Source organism: Homo sapiens, chromosome 2 (assembly GCF_000001405.40).
Source record: "Homo sapiens chromosome 2, GRCh38.p14 Primary Assembly".
Classification (NCBI taxonomy): domain Eukaryota; kingdom Metazoa; phylum Chordata; class Mammalia; order Primates; family Hominidae; genus Homo; species Homo sapiens.
The window spans coordinates 13,754,712-13,772,229 of record NC_000002.12 but is presented as its reverse complement, the minus strand read 5'-3'; the positions used below and the strand labels follow the sequence as shown (position 1 = coordinate 13,772,229).

General features: G+C 34.0%; 1 long non-coding RNA gene across 5 annotated transcripts in view; it reads right to left on the bottom strand.

Moving 5' to 3' along the window:
- Positions 1-13,833: 13,833 nt before the first annotated feature.
- LOC105373438 (uncharacterized) overlaps positions 13,834-17,518 on the bottom strand; it is a 220,483-nt gene continuing 216,798 nt past the window's right edge. For all 5 annotated transcript variants that reach the window (NR_188380.1, NR_188384.1, NR_188383.1 and 2 more), the window contains one exon: positions 13,834-14,671. This is a non-coding gene — a long non-coding RNA (uncharacterized LOC105373438). The remainder of the gene's footprint in view (positions 14,672-17,518) is intronic.

Here is a 17,518-nt window from a genome sequence, read left to right as displayed (position 1 = left end):
TTTTTGTTTTCTACATGATTTAAAGGACTAATTCATTAAAAAATCTAAAAGCGAGTATTATTATAACTTTAATTTGTAACTCTATTTTGTTTGTTACATAATTGAAGAGGCTAATGAATTTAAAATCGTTATTGGGGTTATTTTGGCACATAATTTACAAAGATATAAATTTGTGATATTAGCAACCAAAAAGAGTAGAAATAGAGCTGTAAAGGAGAATTTTGTATTTTATTAGAGTTAAGCTTTTATAAACTTAAAGTGTTATAACTTTAGGGTATCAAATGTAAGCTCCATGATAAACACAAGAAAATAATTGTAAAATAAGTACAAATGAAATTAAGAAATGAATTTATACATTTCACTACAAAAAAAAATCAACTAAACACACACATACACACAAAAACAATGCAGAAAATGAGGGACAAAAAGAGCTATGAAGGCCGGGCGTGGTGGCTCATGCCTGTAATCTCAGCACTTTGGGAGGCCGCTCACACCTGTAATCTCAGCACTTTGGGAGGCCAAGGTGGGCCGATCACGTGAGGTCAGGAGTTTGAGACCAGCCTGGCCAACATGGTGAAACCCCATCTCTACTAAAAATGCAAAAATTAGCTGAGTGTGGTGGCAGGTGCCTGTACTCCCAGCTACTTGGGAGGCTGAGGCAGGCAGAGGTTGCAGTGAGCTGAGATCGGACAACTGCTCTTCAGACTGGGCAACAGAGGGAAACTCCGTCTCAGAAAAAAAAAAAAAAAGTATGAGTCATATAGGAAACTAGTAGCAAAATTAAAAATGTAAGTAAGTCCCTCCTTGTCAATAATTACTTCAAATGCAAATGAATTAAACTCTCTAGTTAAAAAACAGAAATTCGTAGAAAGGGTTAACAAAACAAAAACAAAAACATGATCCAACTATATGGTATGTATAGCAGGTTTTACTTTAGTTATGTAGTTAGATAGTTAAGGTGTTACTATTTTTTCAATTCTTTTTATTTGCTTTTCCTTCTTTTCTTTTCTTTCTACCTCTTTCTACCTTTGTTTTCTTTTGGATGTCTGTTGTTAGTGTTTTGGAATTACTGACTTCTTCAGCTTCAAGTTTAGGTATATAAATTAGAAAGAAAACCTGGAGAACTCACCATTTTATTCCTTGGGTAACCCTGCAATCCCTAGCTAATTTACTTTCTTCTCTCCACATTTCAAAAATCCTGTGTTTGCTTTATGTATGATGCTCAGGTCTTTAGTTGTAAAATTTGTTTGGAAAATATTTTGGATAGATTTACTTTTGCCATTATTTGACTTATAATTAAATTTGTAGATATGTTATTAGAAATTACCACTGGACTGGTTTTCATATTTTTAAATATTATACAGTGGACATACTCAGATAAATTTCAATTCCAAGATCATATACAATCAACATTTTGTGGGGGAACGTCATCAGAATGGGCCTGCAGATTAGTACATGCATTCAATAGTTCATTCAACACAAAAGTGCTGAGCACCCCTTCTGTTCTGGAAGAGGAAAGGATGAAGGTTCAGAGATAAAAGAAAACACTGGAAGTGTAGGCGTGTAGACATGGATATTTTCAATGCAATGCATTCATTGGTATCATAGGGGTAAATACAAGGTATTCTTAGAGTTTGTAGGTTCTGTACATAACTATGATGTAGAAGTGACAGTTATTGAGAAAGAAAAGAGTATGTTTCTTCCAAACAAGGCATCTAAACTCAACTTGAAACGTGAATTATTGAAGCATAAAGGAGAATTCAAGTGAGGAGACCACAGAAACAAAGAAGTAACATGAGCATAGGTATGAAATATCAATTAATCTAGAAATTGAAGCTGTTTGGCAGGAATGAAACTTAGGTTGGAAGTGGTAAGTAAAAAATGAATGCTATTATATACAATGTTAACAAATTAAGATCAATAATTAAAAGCAATAGGTAGACTTTTGAAATTATTCTGTTCAAAACCATTTCTACCCATATTTTCATAGAATAGTTCATACTATGAAACGATTCATAAAATGGTTCATACATATTATAGCTCATAATTACTAGGAGATTACTAAGTCAATTTAATGAGCCTAAATCAGTATCAGTATGTACGGGAATACTGGAAATCCACATGCAAAAAAAAAAAAAGAAGAAGAAAGAAGAAAGAAGGGGAAGGAGGAGAAGGAGAAGGAGGAGGGGGAGGAGGAGGAGGAGGAGGAGGAGGAGAAGAAGAAGAAACCTTACACACATACAAAAATTAACTCAAAATCAAATACCTACATGCAAATGCTAAAATTATAAAACTCTTAGAAGAAAATATGGGGTAAAATATTCCTGGCATTGGAGTTAGCAATGATTCCTTAGATATGACAACAAATGCAGAGGCAACAGAACTTATTATCTCTGGCTCTAAGAAGATGAAAGAAGAAAAAAAGAAAAAAATAGATTAGGTAGACTATGTCAAAATATAAAACTTCTGTGCCTCAAAGATTACAGAGTGAAAAAGCAACTCAGGAAACAAAAGAAAATAATTGCCAATTACATAAGTGGAAAGGGTTTAATATTCTATATAAAGAAATATATATATGTGAATTTTTCTTTTATCGACAATCCTGTCCTTTTTAGAACAACAATTCGACTTTGCATTGGGAAAACTACACACCCTATTAATTGTGTTCTTATTGGGAATATTAAATGTGGTGCTCCAACTTGTAATTAAGAGGTTAAAGCCTATGTGTCAGTGATCTCCGTCACCACCCTCAGGTTGGATGATTTTCTAGAAAGACTCACAGAACTCAGTAAAGCTTTTATACACATAGATATGATTTATCACAGTGAAAGGATATAGATTAAATGAGAGAAGGTAATAGGTGCATAAAACAGTACAAGAAGGTCCAAGCACAGGGTTATAATTGAGGGTCAATCACATAGGCATGGGGCATCTTGTGTAACCGACCTTAGCTATTAAGTCTACAGCCATCCTCCAGAGGTCAAAATGATGTAGCATGGTCCAGGAGCCCCAGATGAATATCTGAATAGATATTCAGCATGTGTGACATTGTTAGCACAAACTATCTGGTGTGACCCAATGTCTTATGTATACAAAAACACTTTTATCAAATAGGCCATTCATTCCAAGGGCTCAATGTTTATCTAAAAGGAGCTAGTTGAGAGGAAGACCTTTCTTTCAAATGCACAAAATTTGAACACTTCATGTTTGCTGATGTAAAATTGTACTACATAGCTAGCTACATATATTGCAGGACTCAATGCAAAGTGAAAATGTGGGACCCCTTCATCAAGAAGCAGGAAATCATTGCCATTAAAGGAAGTAAATATAAATCTTTTTCTTTTCTCTACTGTCTCACATAATGTTATGGTGTCTCATATTTGCTATATGACATCATTCCAATTAAAGAAGAATTAAAACTTTTATTAGCAAAAATGTCACTATTTATCTTTATATAATAGAATTCTAGTTTTAAATGCAAATGCAATGTCATTTAACTTACATGTTGAATAATCAAACTGCACAATTTGTATTTTATAGCACGTAAGTGCATATGCATTTTGTTCTTATAAGAATTGTGAAAAAATACACAAAACTAACTCAAATGTTTTACACTACGTGCCATGCACATCTTCTACCAACATGCTCTGCCTATTCATCAGTATACAGAAGGACTGAAACAAAGAATTCTCTTTGTTTATCTTTGTGGTCCTAACTTTCTGTTTCTTTTACATCATAATTTTCAATGTTGAACATTACAGTGAAATAGCATGAATTAGAAAACATATGACTGGTTTCTTTGGTTATTCGTCTTTTTGAGAGCACCACAGTCTTCTTTTTGAAGAGTGTGGACTCTCAGCAGCACCCCTGCCTCCACACTCCCCTTGAACTTGCCTTGAGTGTCACTGAACTCTCATGTATTGTTCATGCACAGGAGTTTTATGTGCATGTGGTATTAAAAACACTATGCAATTAAGCCAGCAAGAAACTGTGTCAAATAAACCTGATGGGCATATTTCATCTGCTCTCTTTTATACTTCATTGTCTCATTGACTTCACTTATAAAAAACAAGTTCAAAGGAAATTTTTAAAAATTTTAGATGGTAACAGCAAGGCACTTAACTAAGTCTGAGGCTTTTCTGACTACATGGTTTTGTTCAATTTTTAACATCAAAAAATTGGAATGAGCTACATGTTAATATAGGGTCTATTAACTAGGGATAGAATGATAAATATATCACATTATTTTCAGTGAACTTGAAATTCATTTGAGGGTCTAGGCAATTAAGCTATCATTAGAATATAACATGAAAAATATCAATACTGGAATTGTTCAGGGTGAATTAGTTGTGGACAACTAATTCAATTTGAGTTTCAGGAAAGATTTTTTTTGAAACAAGTAATATTTAAATGACAGTCAAGGCTTGAGTAGAAATAAATTTAAAGAACATGGGTAAGGGAAAAAGAATATTTTGGGGGAGAGTGAATAGCATGGATGAATGATCTCCTCCTATTATCCTTTCCTCATACACAATCAATAGATTTCCCTCTTAAAAAAATAAAAGATACTTTACTTTTTCCAGGCTTTTAAAGATGTCTCTAGATTTGTTCATTAGTAATTAGGGTGCCATAAAACCAAGGGAAAGACATACATAGTTTGAATGGAATTTCAGAGTAAGGACTGACAGACAAACATGTTAGTTGCAATTTCAAAGCAAAACACTTTTGAATGGACCTGCTTAAAGTTTCTGAGCTTCACTCAGAAATTACTCTACTTATATATCAGACAGAAATGGAAGCTGATTTTATTCTTTTCCATATAAGTTTTTCAAAAGGAAATGGACCATAGGATTAGCCAATTTATATCTTAAGGATAATGATACCCACATATGCTGTTTATCTGGGCTCTTGGGAAAATTGTGGGTTTATTCATTTTTTAGATCTCTTTCTCACTTTTAGAAATTATTAACATTAAAGAGTTAACAGAGTTGAACACATAGACATGAATTTTTATTTATCTTTGTACATATATGTCTTAGACCCTAAAGAAAAATAAGTAAGCAAGTAGGTGACACATCTCTATTAAATACACCCTTCATTCATAAATCTAATATTACCCTTGCCAGTTGTTTTCAGCATAATTGTTGCTAGTATTAGGAAGTAAAAAATTCTAGACATTGACGTGGAACTAAGTTGAGGCCTAGTGCTTCTGTTCTGTCATCTTGGTCCTTTATATACACCCCAAAAGATATACTTCACGCAAATCACAATCTTACTGCCATTTATCTTAGAGCTGGAGATAACAAGTTAATCCATTATGAATCTCAACTGAGTTGAAAGCTTGAGAAAACAACCTAATAGGTGCTATAACAAGTACACCACAGTTTCTGAAATGAAAAATTGTATAAAGTAATCCGGCGGTGATGAAATGACCAGACAAACAGAATTGAGGTGCTGGGTTAGGGCCTAGAGTGATTAATTAAGTGCCATCACTTGAGGAAAATCACTGTTGCTTGCAGCAGTGTTATTTGCCTTTGCAGTAAATTGTGGAAAGTTGAGGTACGCTGAGAGGAAGGATCATGGGCCAATGCCTATTTTAAGTAGAGGATCTGTAGACACATAAACACTATGTGATATCATCATGGGGAGATTCAAAAATGAGAATCATGACTGTCAAATAATAATTTGGAAACAGGGAAATGTGACCAGAGAGAAAGTTTAATAATCCACCAGCTACCTTGGGAACAGAATCTAAGTTTCTCTACTCTCTGCCATCTATGACCCCCTTACATTATTCTCTCTGGCCTGTATTCTCTTTGAATTCATTTTTCCCAGTTCTCGATATGCTCAGGGACCACAAATTTGTTTTTCAAAAGGAAATGGACCATAGGATTAGCCAATTTATATCTTATAGATAATCATATCTAGAGCAATATCAAATTTGTCTTACCTGTGTGGCATTCTCCTAGGACACTGACCTACCTTTATAAACTAATAGAAGCAATTTAACTTTGACATTCACTCCTTTAATCAATCATCCACTTCCAAAATATTTACTAAACACCTTCTTTATGTAAAATCTATTTTAAAAACTGGAAACATGGAAGAGATAACACAGATTTAGATACTTGTTGTAGAGATTTCATGTGTACATAGACAAGTATCTGTAATCCCAGTTAAACATAATATATGCTTTATGAAAGTATTATAATGGGAAAGTGGAAAGGTTTCCCAGAAAAGATCATATTTAAATTAGTTCATGAGAATGTGTATAATTTGAATACATAAAACTGTGGGAAATTTTTTTAAAACCGTTGAAGAATATGAGCAAGGAATGCTAAGGACGTATGGGTGTTTGGATAAGTAAAGAATAGTTTGCATCAGGGAAATGTGACATACCAGATACATTAATGGAGAGTTTATTATTTTTGGAAAGACTTGGTTCTCAAAAGAGTTGAGTATTAGAATTTAAGACCAGAATGTCTTGGACTAAAAATGTGGATAAAAGAATTTAGGGAGGTAATGATAATTTGAGGAGTACTAAAAGTCACTTTTTCATTCATTCCTGTTTTTATCAACTGAGGAATTATTTATATACAGCAAAATCCACCACCAATTTTAAGTGTACAGTTTGATGAATTAAGTAACTCTATACAATCATTAAGAAATAACAGAAATCAGATTAGAAAACAGGTTTCTCACCTTTAAATGATTGCTTCTCTGGAATCAAGCCCCACACCTTATGCCAGCTCAAGGAAACCACTGTTCTGATCTGTCATTAGAGTTTTGCAGTTTCTAGGTATTCTAATAAATTGTATCATAAAATATGTAGGGTTTTGTGTTTGACTTACTTTACTTTGCTTAATATGTTTGCGATTCATTCGTATGTGTTATTGTGCACCAAAATTGTGGTCTTTTTTAAATTGCTGAGTAGTATTTAATAGTACAGATATACCGCAAGTTGTTCATACACTTATCAGTTGATATGAATTGGACTTGCTCCCTGGTTTTGGTGTTTTACAAACAATGCTGTCATGTGTATTTAGTTGCACATCTTTGAGTGGACATACTTTTCCATTTTTGTCAAGAAAACACTCAGGGATGAATTACTGAGTCAGACTATTTACCATTACAAGAAGTGGTGGGGCTACTTTTGCCTGCTTACCAGAAATATATGAAAGGTTGCTCTGCCCTTCAACCAAGCCAATCGTTTGTATCTCAGATACAATGCTGAACAAGAGTGGTGAGAGCAGACATTCTTACATTGCTTTTCATTTTATGGGAAAAGCATTCAGTTTTCCATCATTTAAACTAGACATTTTATATAGATGTCCCTTACTAGATGGAAGAAATTCCCTTCTATTCCCAGTTTGCTAAGATGTTACAAGTGGGCATTTCATTTTTCTACATTTATTGAAATGATTATATGGCTTCTCTTTCTTTAGCCTGTTCATATGGTGAATTACACTGATTTAACTTTGAGTGCTGAATCAACCTTGCTTAACTAGACACAGCTTAGTCATGGAATATTATTGTCTTTATATATGTTATTCTCTTCTCCATTATACTCTCAAAGAGTTTCTGTAGAATTGATATAACTTTTGTCTTATTTGCTAAAATTAACCATTGAAGCCTTTGGAATTAGAGATCTCATTAAGGAATTAAAAAATAATAATCAAATTTCTGTAATAAATAGAGACTTCAGATATTGCAGTTTTCTCTAAGTGAGGTTTCGTAGTTTGTGTCTTTTCAAGAATTTTTTTTCAACACTATCTAAGATGTCAAAAGTACACGTACAGCTAAGAGTACTTTAATTTCTTTTTCCTATTTGTGGAATCTATAGTAGTCTCCCCTCTTTTATTTCTAATACATGTAACTCTTCTCTTTTCCTTGGCAGCCATGCTAGAGGTTTATTGTTGGTGGTGGTGTCATTGTTATTGTTATCTTCTAATTTTTTCAGAGAAAAAGCTTTATATTTATTAATTTACATTTTTTTCATTTTTAATTTTATTAATTTTGGTACTTATATTCACTATTTTCTTCTTTTGGATTGCTTCATGTTTATTTTGTTATTCCTTTACTAGTTTCTTAAGGTAGAAGTTGAGATCATTCACTTGAGACCATCCTGCTTTTCTAATGTAACTATTTAATAGCATAGGTTCTTTTCAAAGCAAAGCTTAAGCAGCCTCCAGAATTTTTGATATATTTAAAAATTTTTCACTTAATTAAAAACATTTTTTTTCTCTTGTGACTTCCTCCTGGACCATGCAACATTTAGAAGTGTATAATTTAATATACAAATATTCCTCTGTTATTATGTGTGTTTTATTGTTTAACAATTACTCCTAGTTAGTGTTTTATCAGGATTTTTAATCTTTTCAAATAAGTTTTTGACTTATTGATTTTTTGTCTTTATTTTTGTTTTTCTATTTTAATAATTTCCCATCTTTATTACTTTCTAATGTTTACTTTGCTTTTAATTTACTCAATTTCTAGTTTATTAAGGTGAAAGAAAACCTATGAAATTGATTTTTTTCCTTTTATATGTGTTTATTGATATCAGCTTATTCTAAGCAATGCTTTAGCTTTGGTTCACATTTTAAATCAAAATACTTTCTACTTTTATTTTCATTTTTTGTTGATTTCTTGATTTTATTTAGAAGTGCATTAGTTGGATTTCAAATATTGGAAGATTTTCCAGGTATATATCTACTGATTTCTAAGTTAGTAATTGTATTTAGAAAACATATATTGAATGGTTTGAATATTTTTAATTTATTGAGACTTGTTTTATAACATAATTGATCTCAGTATATATTTCATGTGCACTTAAAAATAGTGTGTATTTTTCTGTTTACCAATGATGTGTTCTCTAAATGTCAGTTAGTTCAAGTTGGCCATTTATTTACTTTATTTTGTGAAGTGTTTGTATGCTTTTGCTCTTTAAATTGGGGATGTTGTATTACTTCAATACACCTTGCTTTCCCAGCATAAACTCCACTTGGTCTTTGTGCATTACCATTTGTGTATATTGTTGACTTAATTTTTTAATATATTACTAAGAATTTTTGCCTCATAGCTCATAAGGGGTATTGGTCTGCTATTTTCTTTTTTTTATTATGACTTTATCCAGTTTTAGATTGATATTAATGCTAGTTGCATAAAATGAAATGGGAAGTATTTTCCCCCTATTTGGTGAAAGAGCTTGTAGAGAATTTGTTTCCTCTTTTTCTTAAACGTAGATGGCATTCAACAGTGAAGCCATTTGAGACTGGAGTTTTCTTTGTAGAAAGATTTTAAATTATGGATTCAATTTTTTAAATTGATACATAGGTATTCAGGCTTTCCACTTCTTCTTAAATCAGTTTTGGTAACTTGTTTCTTTCAATAAATTATCTGTTTCATCTAGTTGTCAGTTTCATTTGCATGAACTCGTGCATGTATTTCACATATTATCTTCTATGATACCTTTTTTATTTCAGATAGATATAATTTGGTCTTCTCTTTTTATTGTCATATTCATCTCTCTGGCTGGGTAGTTATTAAATTTCATGTTTTCCACTGTATTCTTCTTATGTTTACTTATTTCATGGATATCTTACTCTATCAATTTGCTTTCCAGTTATTATTCTCAATATTAAAGTACATTTCTTATTAACAGTAACTTTCTGTGAATTCTGACAATCTCTGTTTACATATTTGGGTTTGGCTACAGCTTTTTTTTATTTTTTTATATTTTATTTTATTTATTTATTTATTTTGAGACAGAGTCTCACTCTGTCGCCCAGGCTGGAGTGCAATGGCGCGATCTCGCCTCACTGCAACCTCCTTCTCCTGGGTTCAAGTGATTCTCCAGCCTCAGTCTCCAGAGTAGCTGGGATTACAGGCGTGTGCCATTGCGTCCAACTAATTTTTGTATTTTTAGTAGAGGCCGGGTTTCACCATGTTGGCCAGGCTGGTCTCTGAGGTCAGGAGACCTCAGGTGATCCGCCTGCCTCTGTCTCTCAAAGTGCTGGGATTACAGGCGTGAGCCACCATGCCTGGCCACTGATTATAGCATTTTTAAAATCTTGATTCCCAGGGTTTCTGTATTTTGTACTTTTGATTCATCTCCACAACTTTCTGAATCTCCTCTTTCATTTTTTTTCTCATGATTTACTGTTTCCTTAATTTTATCAGATGGTGATAATGATGACGATAATGATGATGATGATTTGGGAGTACGTGCACTGGAAACTCTGCTTCATAAGCAGAATTCCTTTCATGAGGTCATATGTTTCGATCAACTGCTTTGAGTTTTTTCCGTATATATGTGGCTCAGGAATCAGTCAGAAATATCAGCAAACCAGTTTCGGGAATCCCTTCTCTGGTTCTTTCTATTCTGCTATTCTTTCACTCTCTGTAGTGTTCAGAGCTTCCTGCCTTCCCACTTCTGCCTCCTTTGATCAGAAAGATTACAGATTTTTCCATCTGCAATACAGCCATTATTGTGCAAGCTACATGCACTGCCATTAGCCCAAGATTATAAGCGGTGGAGATGAGATTTTACAGGTATAGCTCCTTGTCTCACTTTTTCCAAGAGAGGTTGTGATGCTTTCTCCACCCGAATTTGCCTATTTTGTCCATTCTCATGTGCTTTCAGCATTTAGTTTTTGTAGTATGTCATATGTTATATTTGTTTTCTGCAGAGGGTAGACATCCAGTATAGTTTTATTCTCTCATATCTCTTAGTTGTCTTAATTAAGACTAATTTGGGACAACAGTATTAAAACTTTGGCTGGGCAGGGTGGCTCACACCAGTAATCCCAACACTTTGGGAGGCCGAGGTGGGCAGATCACGAGGTCAGGAGATCGAGACCATCCTGCCTAACACCGTGAAACCCTGTCGTCTCTACTGAAAATACAAAAAATTAGCCCGGTGAGGTGGTGGGTGCCTGTAGTCCCAGCTACTCGGGAGGCTGAGACAGGAGAATGGCGTGAACCCGGGCGACGGAGCTTGTGGTGAGCCGAGATCGCGCCACTGCACTCCAGCCTGGGCGACAGAGCGAGACTCCGTCTCAAAAATAAAGCAAAAACAAAAACAAAACAAAAAACTTCAAAATGTTCATTTGTTCAGATTATTTTATCTCTTTCCATTTGGCTTGCAGGGGGTGGGGTACATCTTCAATGTGGTTAGGAAGAAGTAACAAAACTAAATGGCTTTTAACACCCCCTCTTGGGCCCAGAATTTCTAAAATGACTTCCCAAAGATGCTCTACACAATCACTAGAATCTGTGAATATGAAGAGGTATATTCATATATATGATACTACATGACAAAAGGGATTTTAAAAGGAGAGAGGGAAAAGAAAGGAGAGGTAAGTAAGTGAGTCTTGTATACTGTGTAACAGAGGGCAATGCCGTTCTTTCTTTGACAGATGAACCAAGGAGGAAAACATCCTTCACACTAAACATGCTCTTCTCTCTCTAATGAGCTGATATTTTCTCTTTAATGAGTTCAGTGTTTTCTATCTCACGGCATCTCTGATTCTCTCTGTATCTGCTCTCATCTTTCTATTTTACTTCTACTTGGTGGCTTTCTCATAATTTCTGCTCCCTCACTACTTTTCTTGCCAAATGTTCGACTTACAATGATACCCTTTACCCAGAATCTGCTTCAAGATATTCCTGAAAATAATTTGATCTCACTTCCAAACATGCTTTTCAGTTTCCTCATTTTAAATTCCAGAGCAATAAAACTATTTAGCTCTCCTTTAAGCATCAGGCCATAAATCACAAATTGCAAGTGTGGCGTGGCTGTCTGTCTCTGGTCCTGGCCAATTACTGTTTCAACCAATTATGAACAGGGAAGACATGTCTGAGGTAACATAGTGACACCCCGTGCTTCCTCAGGAGGTCTGAAACCACATCCATGTCTCTTAAAGGCTCAAGGAAACCTAAAGGAATCACCTGGATTTCTCTAATACAACCCTTTCTGACTGTACTCACTAGGAACTGAAGCCACACAGCTTAGTAATCAAGCTTGGCTATAAGAAAAGAAAGAAAAAGAAAACAAAAACAAAAATTAATTTACAGCTGTTTTTGCATGAGTATGACATTACTATTCTAGGAAATTCTTTCTCGGGAAGATGATGTTGGAAGTAACTTTATTATTTGTTTCAGAGGCTTCTTTTCAGAAAAACAGATTACTAAACTGGATTTATAAAATGACTATTTATTATAAAATATTCATTTTCAAATCATGCCTCATTGTATGCATTCATCCTAAATTATTATATCACAAACTTTACTTAATTATAATCAGGCCCTCCTATTAAAACCTTACTTTCAAAACAAATGTCCTATCCTTGACTTTTCTTTCCCAACAAAGGTCTTTCCCAAGTGGGCTCTTCACTGTGTTAAGCAGAAACTTTGGTTTGTGTGCTCAGCAGGTGATATTGGTTTTGTTTTATGGGATCATCAGTCAAAATCCCATTTTGATCCTGACTGCCACCCTATGAGGAAGACAAGGCAGGCAGAATTTTTAGAATGAGGAAACTAAGATGAGTATGGTGACATCACTTCCAGTCATTTGATTTTATTCTAGGAAAGTTTCCACTATATAAATCTACTGCCTCAACAATATTAAACATGTCAGGTTAAGTATGAATAATTTGTCACTGAAAGATCTGAAATTAACTATTATACATCCTCATGTATCAAGTACATACTTTAGAATTTAATCTTCTTTAACCTTTTTTAATCTTTCTAATATTACTTGTATGAGGCCACATTTCTGCTCAAACCTTCTCTAGTCCTGAAGTTCTCCTCAAGATAAATTGCATATTCTTATTTGACATTAAGAACTCTTCCTAATATGACCCCAAACTACCCTTTTGGCTTAGCACCAATGAGCCTTTCTTAGTCTTAACAACGCTTGCCCTCACCCATCTCTCAGTGCCAGCTACTTTTGGATTTCTATGCTTCTGTTCTCTTCTCTTTTTTAACGCATGACAAGGAAAATAATTTCTGCTTATGTTTCATCTCTAGCCTAGGCCTATTCACCCATATGAAACTAAGTACGGCCCTTTCAAAAATATATCTGATAAATCATAATTGTTCAATGAATGCATTATCAACTGCATATTGCTTCAGACTAATAAATTGCTCACTCCAATCCCAATGAAGAGGGTAAGGAGAGGAGGGTCAAGGGAAGCATAAAGCTATAACTATATGCCTTAATATGTTATTTCCAGGGAATTCATAAAGGTTAATTCTTCATATAGTCCTTGTGCTTAACACAATGGTAAAGTCAGGCTTCTAAAATAATGCAGCAGTAAATTCTGATGAAGTAAATCATTTTGTAGCAAAATCTAAACAATGGTGTTAGAAGACCAAACGGATTGTGCATAAGGAAAACCAACTCTCCTATTACTTTAATTATTCAGCCTATTAACTGTGACAGTATGGCTTTAAAATCTCTTCATTATTCACTGTAATTAAGTGGCACAGCAACCCACAGGATGTCAGAACTCACATTCAGAGAAGACAAGCTGTGAGTGATGGTGTACACACTATATACAGACAAAACATTTTAAAAAGAATAATTGCTCTCACATCACTTCCCAAGATGTCTCACCTGTCTTCTTTTGCATCTTTTTTTCAACGTGAATGCTTGCAAATGTACAACATCAATTTAGCACTTTCTAGTTTGCAACTTTGTAAACAGCAGCTTTCCCACTTGAGTAAGTGTGAAGAGGAAGTTCAGAATGGTTTGTGCCTAATTGTTGATGGCCAATCATAGAAAGTAAAACTAAACATAGGCAAAGTCAAGGGGAAGTAAGAAAGCAGATAATTGCTTTGAAATTTTTTATTATAAAAAAGAAGAAGAAATAAGATTGGGAAAACAAAAGAAGTAACAGTGTGCAAATTGGCAGGGGGTAGTTGTTTTATTTTGTCTTGTTTTAGTTGTTTAATGGGCTCTTGTGAGCTGCATTTCTTTCCCCTTCGGAGAAGGGTCTGTTGAGATGGACTAAAGAGGGCCCTTAAATAAAAGACTAGGATTATTTTTCTTGTTTATTACAGTTGATATTTTGACATTCTATAATAGCAGAATACCCGTTTTTCAAGCACCCCCCATCCCCCCCACAGAATACACACCAAGACAGATGACATACTAAGTCATAAAATCTCAACAAATTTAAAATAATTGAAATCACATAAGGAGTGTTCTCTGAGCACAATGGGGTCTATCTAGAAATCAGTAAGTTAAAGATAACAGAAAAAAAAAATCTTCAAACACTTGGAACTGAACAAGCCACTTTTAAAATAACCTATGGGTCCTAGAAGAAGACTCAAGAAATGTTATGGACTGAATGTGTTCCCCCCAAAATCATGTGTTAAAATCTATCCCCTAATGTGATTGATAATATTTGGAGGTAGAGTCTTTGGGAGACAATTATGTCATGAGAGTGAAGCCTCTGTATTGGGATTGGTGCCCTTATAAGAAAGGATCCAAGAGCTAGCTCAATCTCTTTCTGCCATGTGAACACATACAGAAAAGTTAGCAATCTACACCCAAAAGAGGGCCCTCACCACAACCTGACAACATGACACTTTGATTGTGGACTTCCAGCCTCCAGAACCGTAGGAAATAGAGTTGTTTGAAAGTTTATGGTGTTGTTACAGCATCCTGGATTAAGACAAAAGAAAAGGTTTTTAAAAATACATTGAACGTAATGAAATTAAAAATATAACATATCAAAAGTTGTGGGACTCAGCTAAAGCAGTGCTAACAGGAAAATGTAAAGAAATATATCTAGCATGAAGGAGTTCTTTGTGGTGATGAAATATCCCTGTATTTTGATTGCAATGCTGATATCATAGAATTAGACATGTGATTAAAAAACATATAATTACATACACACGCATGGTTCTGAGATCAAATTCCTGGTGACCATCATTATGTAAAATGTAACCACTGGGAGAAACTGGGTAAAAGACACATGTGATCTCATTATTCTTTTTAAGAGTTATCTTAGCAATTATTGTCGCTTTTTCTTCTACACATAGTTGTATGGAATGTTCTTTTTCCCTTTAAGATTTTCATTACATGGAAAAGTGACCTGTTTATGATAATGTTAACATATTTAAATGAGTAGAATAAAATATTTGAAAATACTTGATTCATTTAGGCCTCATGAATGTTTCTGTTTTAACTTTTATTTATTTGTTTCATATTTTGTGCTTAAAAAAAGATGTCCAATTAAAAAAAGGCTGTTGGAATCTTCTAAAAAGTATATCCAATGAAACCGCAAAATATATCTTAAAATTAACTATTTGGCTGATATCTGATGTTACCACCTTTGTCTAATCCATCCATGCTTCTATAATTGCCTCCCTATAATTTCCACATAAAAACTCAGGTAATTTTTATATATGACATCAGTTCATAGCCTCATATTTCTTTCTCTTCCTTCAACCTTAAACCCTGCCAAGTCTTCCCATTTATACAGAATAGTATTTAAACTCCTTACACTGGCATTATTGTCATTAAAATTTTAGCTTAATTGTCCCCTGCCCAGAGAAGCCTCCTCTAGTAAGAGTCAAAAATATATGACCATTCCCTCCCTACTACATGGCTGTGTAATTCTTAGCACAGCAGTTATTACTATTGCAAATGTTCTATTTGTTTACTTCATTACTCTTTCTCTTCTGTAGAGTGTAAGCTCCCTGAAAATAGATGTCTTTATTTTTCTTCACTACTGAACCATAATAATAAAAAATGCATTTATAAACACAAATTTACATTAACTAATTCAGCTCTCATAACAACAATATAAATACATATTATCACCATCATCACTATTTTACGGTTGAGAAACTGGACAGATAAGTTAGGTAAATTCCTCAAGATCTCACAATCTGGTACATTTAGGATACATAATTCAAACTCAGGCAGTCTGCCTCTAGTGTCTTTATTCTTAATCACTAAGTTACAATGCCTATAATTGTTTCCAGACCTTAGCAGGTTTTTAATTAATGTTCCTTGATCAGTGAAAATATTAAGTTGGTTCTCTGGAAGAGGTGGTTGTGCTTTGAGTTTATTATAGAGCTTGTTTTACTAGGTTAAACATTTTATATCTAGAAATAATTTTACATGTGAACTATTTTGGGGACTATAATCTACAAATTAAGACTATCATTTACTAATAGATGTTAATAGATTTGCTTAAATCATTCTTATGGAAAATGTATGAAATTATATCCTGAGCATAAGGAAAAGGAATTTTCCTAATCAGAGTACAAGTTAACTATCTATCATATCAGTGGTGTTTATTAAAACACATCAGTATTCATTTGTTTTAGATATTATACAAGTGATATACAAATATATTATTATTATTATAGAGTAGCTGAAAAAATGTCTACGGCAATTTACAGCGTCATAATTTAGCATATTCTTAATCTCTTTTTTAAAAACATATTTAATGCTGTGTTCAGCTCTTAGGGAAATCTAAAGATTAGGCAAAGCCAGGGCTCTGGAGCGCCTAGAGCCTGGGCTCGCTTTAAGGTACATCCTATAACCAGGACAGCTTAATGGCAAGTTATCTTCATTTTTTGAAACATCTTGGATATTGCTAATAGGTGCTATTCAGAATATATAATTGCCCTTTAAAAAGGATAACACTTTGGCATAAAGTAAATGCGTGCCCCCGAAATTCATATATTGAACCATACCCCACCATGTAATGTTATTAGAAAAGGCTTTTGGTATGTAATTAGGTTTAAACAGGTCATGAAGGTGGAAACTTTATATGACAAATAAGAGAGCAGAGCTCTCTTTCTATGCCATGTGAAGATATAACAAGGAGGCGGTCTTCTACAAACCAGAAAGAGTCTCTCACAAAGAGCCAAGTCTCCTGGCATTTTGATTTTGGACTTTTTATCATCTACAACTGTGAGAAATAAGTATCTGTTGCTTAATCCATCCAGTCTCTGGTAATTTGTTATAGCAGTCCTAGCTAACTAAGTCAGTCTTCTTTCATGAAAGTAATGTTAGCAACTAAAGAAAAATAGAATTGCTCTTGTTTTATTCAATTGAGTCTTTTAGGTGTTTGGATCTGCAAAGTGGCCTAGAGCTTTAATTAGAAATATGACCATGAGAAAGGTACATTATTCTGCATTAGTAAGTAGAAAAAAAATGTTATTCCTAGAAGAGAAATGAAAATATTGACATGGATGAGGGAAGAGGGTGAGAGTTAAGGACAAATATAAAAATTACCAGAGGACTGAGCTTTCAATGGAGATGACTTAACAAAGAATTCCTGACTGTGGCCATAACAACCCTTGGAAATAGATATTTTATCATCTTAGGGGCTCATAGTAAACCTTGCTAATGCTTATACATACAGAAAGACCCTATCATGAAGAATGTTTTGTTTGTTCCCTATAAATTGTAAAGGTAGCTGCTTTTATTACTGTATCATAATGGTAAAGAATGCAGACAGAATGCAGGCGAGCAAGGAATCCTCTTAGT